The 7,659-nt window shown below is 39.9% G+C and overlaps 1 pseudogene; it reads right to left on the bottom strand.

The window, feature by feature from the left end:
• Positions 1-1,737: 1,737 nt before the first annotated feature.
• On the bottom strand, positions 1,738-2,342 carry HMGN2P29 (high mobility group nucleosomal binding domain 2 pseudogene 29; annotated as a pseudogene).

Below are 7,659 nucleotides of genomic sequence, written 5' to 3'. Positions count from 1 at the left end.
TCTATGTTTCCAAGGTGTGAGGTCTTATTCTCAACCTTGATTTCCCTTAAAAACCAAATGGGATAAAAACTAAAGACTTCAGGCTTACAATTTTACGTGTGTATACGTGCCAAGCCTCCCATGGGTTGGCACAAACTGTGATGATGGGACGGCAGCCCCTGCTGCACAATGAAAAACATTGTTACTATTAAAATCTTGGTCTAAACATTTTTTTTACAAAGCCTTTTACTTGCAATGGGTCATTGGAATCCCTCTCACTTTTTTTTTTTTTTTTTTTTTTTTTTTTTTTGAGACGGAGTCTCGCTCTATCACCCAGGCTGGAGTGCGGTGGTGCAACCTCGGCTCACTGCAAGCTCCGCCTCCTGGGTTCACACCATTCTCCTGCCTCAGCCTCCTGAGTAACTGGGACTACAGGCATCCGCCACCAAGCCTGGCTAATTTTTTGTATTTTTAGTTGAGACGGGGTTTCACCATGTTAGCCAAGATGGTCTCGATCTCCTGACCTCGTGATCCACCCGCCTAGGCCTCCCAAAGTGCTGAGATTACAGGTGTGAGCCACCGTGCCCGGCCCCTCTCACTTTTTAATAGGCCATTTACTATGGAATAGTGGTCCAAAAGTTGGCAGAATATGATATTTAATTGGTGAATTTATTTTAAATGCAGATGACTGGAATCCACCAGAGATACACTGAATGTGAGTTGTGGGATGGGAGTAGTCAGGGATCTGTATTTTTTAAAAGCTCTGCAGGTGATTCTGAAGCACACCAAAGTTTCTCTGGTATTGAGGAAAATTTTTTATTTTTATTTTTTGTTTTATTTTATTTTTTTTCCAAGCCAAACTGTATACAGCTTTATTAAAGATACTTTGCATAAACAATCATGGTATTTCAGGCAGGACATGGGCAGACGATTGTTAACAGTATACAACAACTTTCAAATTCCCATCTTCAATGGACTATCAAAAATCAGAAAGCCAATAAAAGACGCAATGAAGTCTTCATCTGATGCTCTGAACAGGGTGAGGGTTGACATTTCACATTTAGCCTGTTGTTTAACAACTTTTCACAAGCCGACCCTGACTTTTAGGAAGTGAAATGAAAACAGAATTTTTCTGAAGACTCACAATCTAGAAAGATAACCACTGTTCTTTTGACAGGTGCCATCTCAGCGGCATCACTGGAAAGTCCAGATTGGCCGGGCACTGTGCCTCACGCCTGTAATCCCAGCACTTTGGGAGGCCGAGGCGGGTGGATCACGAAGTCAGGAGATCGAGACCATGGTGAAACCCCGTCTCTACTAAAAATACAAAAAAAATTAGCCGGGTGTGGTGGCGGGCGCCTGTAGTCCCAGCTTACTGGGGAGGCTGAGGCAGGAGAATAGCGTGAACCCGGGAGGCGGAGCTTGCAGTGAGCCGAGATGGCGCCACTGCACTCCAGCCTGGGCAACAGAGCGAGACTCCATCTCAAAAAAAAAAAAAAAAAAAAGAGAGAGTCCAGATTGCCTGACACGCTGGTAACCAATGACTAAGGGTCAGGTCCCAGTGGATATCTGGGCTTAAGGGAGTTAAGTCTATGCTGAGAGATGGAAAGGGGGAAGATGACATAAAAATGAGTTTGTTTTTCCATACCACAAGGCTTTTGTGCCAAGCTGGCCATGTGTGTCAAAGTCAGGGACTCCCTCCTCCTGGGGGCCAAGAGGAAGTCTCTCAAAACTAGAAGGGAAAGGTGTTTTCCCCCATCAATCCAGCTCTGGAGACATTCTATTAGTGACATGTGCCCCTTCCCCCCAAAACAATGAAGTGTTCTGTGTGCTAACAACATAGCTTACAAAAAAAAGTAAAACAAAATTCTGCATTTTTATAAAACTTGATAAAAAATAGTATTTCAAACGGTACAAACTGTGTACAGAAGTACACAGTTATCAAAAATGCACACACTTCACTTGGCCTCTCCAGCACCTTAGGCTTTCTGTGCCTGGTCTGTTTTGGCATCTGCATTTTCTGGAAGGTTATTCCCCTCCTTGCCAGAATCAGCTTTTCCCCTTTTTCTCTGTGGGTACCTCTTCTTCCTTCTTTGCAGGGGCCTTTTTAGGCTTTGGCTTTGGCTTTGGAGGAGCGGGTTTAGCATACAACCTTGCGGATCTTCTCTGTGGTTCGTCCTTCACCTTGGCTTTATCTCCTTTAGCATCCCCTTCAGCCTTTGTCTTGGGCATGGTGGCGGCGTCGACGGCGGCGGGATGTAGGCGCTGGGCGCGGGACGCAGCGGCGCCCAGGCTTTGGTCAGTCAGGGTGTCGTTCTTGTCTCTTCTTCTTCACTGCTCGGGCTCCGGGGGGTTTATAAAGTGAAACTTTTCACATGACAATCTGGAAAACTGGGTTCTAATCCTGGCTGTCTTGTAAAATTGCAATGTGGCCTTGAACAAGTCGCTTGGATAAGTAGCCAAAAAGGAGGAAGGGGTCTCCTGTGGAAGGTCCTTGTTTTTTTTCATAGTTGTTCAATTTTTTTAGTTTTCTCAACTGTAAAAAGGAGGACATAACATTATTTACCTTGGGTTTGCTGTAAGGAAATTGCTCGTCACATAATAACAACTCAAAAGTTAACTTGTTAGATTTTATTATTTTTATAATCATTATTAATATTGATGCCAAAATGATACAGAACTATAATTCAGTATAATAGACATACTATATTTCCCTACACAACCAATAAAGAGCTGGCCTCATTCATTCATTTAGATAAGTAATTGTTGCTACCCACCAGGGTCCAGGTACTGCACTAAACTCAGGACACAGGATTGGATACTATGGGGTCTCTGACCTTAAAAGACTGATAGCCCAGTGGCTGGTGTGGTGGCTCATGCCTGCAATCCCAGCACATTGGGAGGCTGAGGCGGGCAGATACCTGAGGTCAGGAGTTCAAGACCAGCCTGGCTAACATGGTGAAACCCAGTCTCTACCAAAAATACAAAAATTAGCTGGGCATGGTGGCGGGTGCCTGTAATCCCAGCTACTTGGGAGGCTGAGGCCAGAGAATCGCTTCAACCCGGGAGGCAGAGGTTGCAGCGAACCGAGATTGTGCTACTGCACTCCAGCCTGGGTGACAGAGTGAGACTCTGTCTCAAAAAAAAAAAAAGAAAAAAAAAAGATTATATCCTCCTGTCAAAAGATATAATATGTATAGCCAAATATTGAAGCTGCTACTTTTTCTAAAGAAAGTCAAAAGTGTTTGCTGAAAAGCCATTTCACCCACTTCCACAAAGATGATAATAACTTCTATTAAATAGTTCATCTCTCTTCTTGAGTAGTGTGGCATACACATATTAGATAATATTGTATTTTTGGAGAACTCATTGCGTATGAGTAGCTTAGATAAAATGAGCTAAGAGGGTTCAATTAAGTTCTCATTCTGATGGCACTCACTGTCTTTGACTTTTATAAAGGTTTATGATCCTTGTTGCTATAATTTTAAAGACTTAATAAAAATAGTGTTAATAGACTTTTCATCATTTAAACAGTCTTCCTTTGAGAATTCCGTTATTGCTTCTGATAAATTCCTTCTAGAAAGCATATGAGGCATGGGAAATGGTTAGATTATCATGAACATGTACAATATCAATGTTTCTTTTGTTAAAAATACCACTAAGAATATTCAAAGATGTCATGCTTATTGTTCTGTAAACTAAAACTTATGTTTTCTACTAAGTTGAATAAGAATATAGATTGAACATACTTCCTTTTCTTATCAGATCTCTCCTCCTCAAGTGTGAATTGAAGAAATTTCCCTAGGGGAGAAAAAATAGATCTTACTTACAGAGAAGTCAAATAATAAATTTAAAAAATATTTGTAACACAAATGGAAAATAAAATCTAAAAAATACCTAGTAGAAAACTAATTCAGGTTTCATGAAACAACATTAATAACAACAATAGATAATGAACAAAATATATTAACAAAATCAAAATGGCTAGCCCATTAAAAACATTATTACCACTAGTTATTTAAGAAATACAGATTAAAGTGAAATCACATTTTTCTATAAAATTAGTATAATTTTTTTCTTTTTTATAATCCATAGGTTCATAGAAATAAGTAGAGATTTCAAAATAGCAATATATAACACTGATAAGGGTGTGATGATACCCTTATTCAATGCAGCCATGTTTATAAATGACAATTTTTTGAAAGTGTTAGTAATAAAGCCTCAGTCTTCTGTATGTATGTATGTTTTTGAGACAGGGTCTTGCTGTGTTGCTCAGGCTGTTCTTGAACTCCTAGGCTCCAACAATCTTCCTGCCTCGGTCTCCCAAAGTTCTGGGATTACAGGCGTGAGCCACTGTGCCCAGCCAAGCATTAGTCTTAAACCCGCATACACTCTTTTTATCAATCTAGTCTCTGAAGGATGCACATGATAGAAACCTCCACTCCATACTAGCTTAGGCTAAACAGGGAATTATTTCTTGTGGATTACATCAGGATAGATTCTGTTACTGAAATTATATTGTTAGGAATCTGCCCCTTTTCATCTCTAGCTTCCATCTCTCCTCTGTGTTAGCTTCATACCAAGGCAAGCTCTCTCAGTGATTGCTGGAAAGCTGGGCTGGTCAACCCAAAATAACAGGTTTCAATCAATGTAGAAAGTTTATTTTGCCAAGGTTAAGGAGGTTCTGAGGATCATGTTCCCAAGGTGGTGGTGGGGGAGACTTCCAGGTCATAGGTAGATAAGAGACAAAAGGTTGCATTCTTCTGAGTCCTTGATGAGCCTTTTACTGACTACACAATTTATTCTGGCTCAGTGAGTCTGTATTTTTACATAAACAATAGAGCAGAGGAGGCAATCAGATATGCATTTGTCTCAGGTGAGCAGAGGGAGGACTTTCTGTCCTGCACCTGTGAAGGTATGCGGTGGGGGATGCGGGGGGTTGGGGTGGGGAGTGAAATTCAACGCAGCTGATTCAGGGTAAAGATTTTGAGGCCACAAGAAATTTCCTTCTGGGCAAATTGTGAGGGAGGTATGTAGCTCTTTTACCTTTGTAGTTATCTTATTTAGGAATTAATATGGGAAGAAGGTTTGCGTGATTGTAGTTCCCAGCTTGACTTTTCCCTTGGCTTAGTGATTTCGGGGCCCCAAGGTTTATTTTCCTTTCACAGGCTGATATCAGATAGCCAACCCTAACGAAAGGGAATGGCTTTTCCTGGAAAAGCCCAAGAGTGAGCCTCGTTGCCTGAGTTAGGTCTCATATTCAGTCCCGAACCAGCCACTGCAGCCAGGGGGGTAGAATGCCCTGACTGCCCACGCTGGGGTCCTGCACAAGCCTTGAAGCCAGGGACGGAGTCAGCTTTATCCAAGCTCCTTGGGATACAGTGTGATTCTCCAAAGTAAGATGTTACCACCAAAAGAAGGGGAAATGGAAGCGAGTCAGGAAAAATCAACCGATATTCACTGCACAATTTCATCCTTTAATAACACTCCTGTAAATCAATGTTAAGAAATAATAAATGCAAAGATTAACATCCAAATGTTTAATATAGCTTTGGTTATAAGGGAGGAGACCACGCCTCATATTGTCTTATGTCCAATTTCTGCCTCCAAAGAAAGTAGAAGTAAAAACTAAAAGGCAGAAATGAAATCCACAAGCAGATAGCCCGGTGCCACACCCTGGGCCTGGTAGTTAAAGATCGACCCCTGATCTAATCAGTTGTGTTATCTATAGATTACAGACACTGTATAGAAAAGCACTGTGAAAATGCCTGTCCTGTTCTGTTCCGTTCTAATTACCGGTGCATTCAGCCCTCAGTCACGTAGCTCCTGCTTGCTCAATCAATCACGATCCTCTCACGCGGACCCCCTTAGAGTTGTGAGCCCTTGAAAGGGACAGGAATTGCTCACTCGGGGAGCTCGGTTGTTGGAGACGTGGGTCTTGCCGAAGCTCCCGGCCAAATAAAGCTCTTCCTTCTTTAACTCGGTGTCTGAGGGGTTTTGTCTGCAGCTTGTCCTGGTACAGTTACAATACTTAAAAAAAAAAACAAAACCCCAAAACCTTGAATAATACTATTATTTGACAATAGGCAAATTGTAAATTAAAAAGTACAAAATGTATTAGGGAGCCATAAAATTATATTTTAAATACCTTTTAGTGCTTATGAGGAAAGTATACTTTATGATATAAAGTCATAAAGGCAGAATGTCATACATACAGTAAGAGCTCACCTATGTAAAAAAATGTGCAGAAAACAAACCTAGGAAAATCTGTTAAAATAATAATTAGTTCCAAGAACTGTTGGACTTTACTTATTCATAAAACAGGTTTTTTTTTGAGTGTTATTTAATGGCAAGAATTTTTCTTCTGAATATTATTTCTTTATAATTTCCATACTTTACATATGTTACAATAAGAAACTGAGAGGTGCCCTGCATTTAAATAGAAATTCTAATAACTTTACTTAAATTATTATGACATTGCAAACATCATTTTAAGGTGCTTTCGGGTACGCTGTCTCATTTAATGTCTCTTAAGTAGTCAGTTGTCAGTTTGATTTGCTCCATGAGGCTATTGTTCTTCTATAGGAGCCATAAATAAAATCTGTTGATTGACAGAGTGATTCATTTGTTCATTCATCCAACTACCTATGAATTGTTGGAGGGATTAAAAAATAACCCCTAAAGGAATTTGCTAAAATTAGGAAGGTAAGAAAGCTTTTAAATTATCTTGGGTCAGTGAACAGGTTTTTGCAGTGATTAGAATATGTTAATTATTCTTTTTAAGTAAATGAAGAGCTAAATGAATGTCAGCAATTCTGTCAACGTCACTGTGTGTGAAGAGGTTACGCTCATGATAGCATTCTATTACAATCATAAAAATCATTTACAAGAGTGGTTTTTCTGCAAGATTTCAGAAATGTATCCTACAATTAATTTTTAAATATATTATGAATGTCAAATATAACACTTATATACTAAATATATTCAGAGTTAATTAATTTTCTACACATTCACTTATGAATGATTTTTATTGCATCTGCTGGTTGAGGTGGAATTTCTGGTCAAAGGGTATTTGTACCTGCTACTCCCTGAAACTTCAGCTTCATGAGAGGAAGTAGTGCCTCCAAGCCTCAGAGACTACTGTGGCCAACTCCCACAAAAAAAGAAGGATAGCAGAGGTTTTCTAGTCAAGATTCTATTAGGAGAGAATGTAGAATGACCCTTAAGGCCAACTGGAGGCAGTGATCTTGGCTATATAAGACTAACTGGATCAGTATTAGGGTGATGGTTAAGGGAGCCAACACCAACATGCATAAGAAACTTTCTTTCCTTTTTATTATGACCTAGAATTTTTAATATATATTTACTGAAATTTGGCCAAACACAGTAGCTCATGCCTCTCTGTAACCCCACCACTTGGGAGGCCGAGGGCAAAATAGCATGATCAAAAAAAAAAAAATTAACTGGACATGGTGGCACACTCCTGTAATCTCAGCTACTCAGGATGCTGAGGCTGGAGGATCACTTGAGCCTAGGAATTTGAGGCTGCAGTGACCTATGATCATGCCAATGCACTCCAATCTGGGCAATGGAACAAGTCTCTGTCACTAAAAAGAAAAAAATAAGTAAATAAATGAAATAATTTTTATGGATTTAAATACTAATTTTTATTATATATCA

The sequence above is a fragment of the Homo sapiens genome, chromosome 6, assembly GCF_000001405.40.
Source record: "Homo sapiens chromosome 6, GRCh38.p14 Primary Assembly".
Classification (NCBI taxonomy): domain Eukaryota; kingdom Metazoa; phylum Chordata; class Mammalia; order Primates; family Hominidae; genus Homo; species Homo sapiens.
The sequence above is the reverse complement of the archived record's forward strand: the minus strand, read 5'-3'. Positions and strand labels throughout refer to the sequence as shown.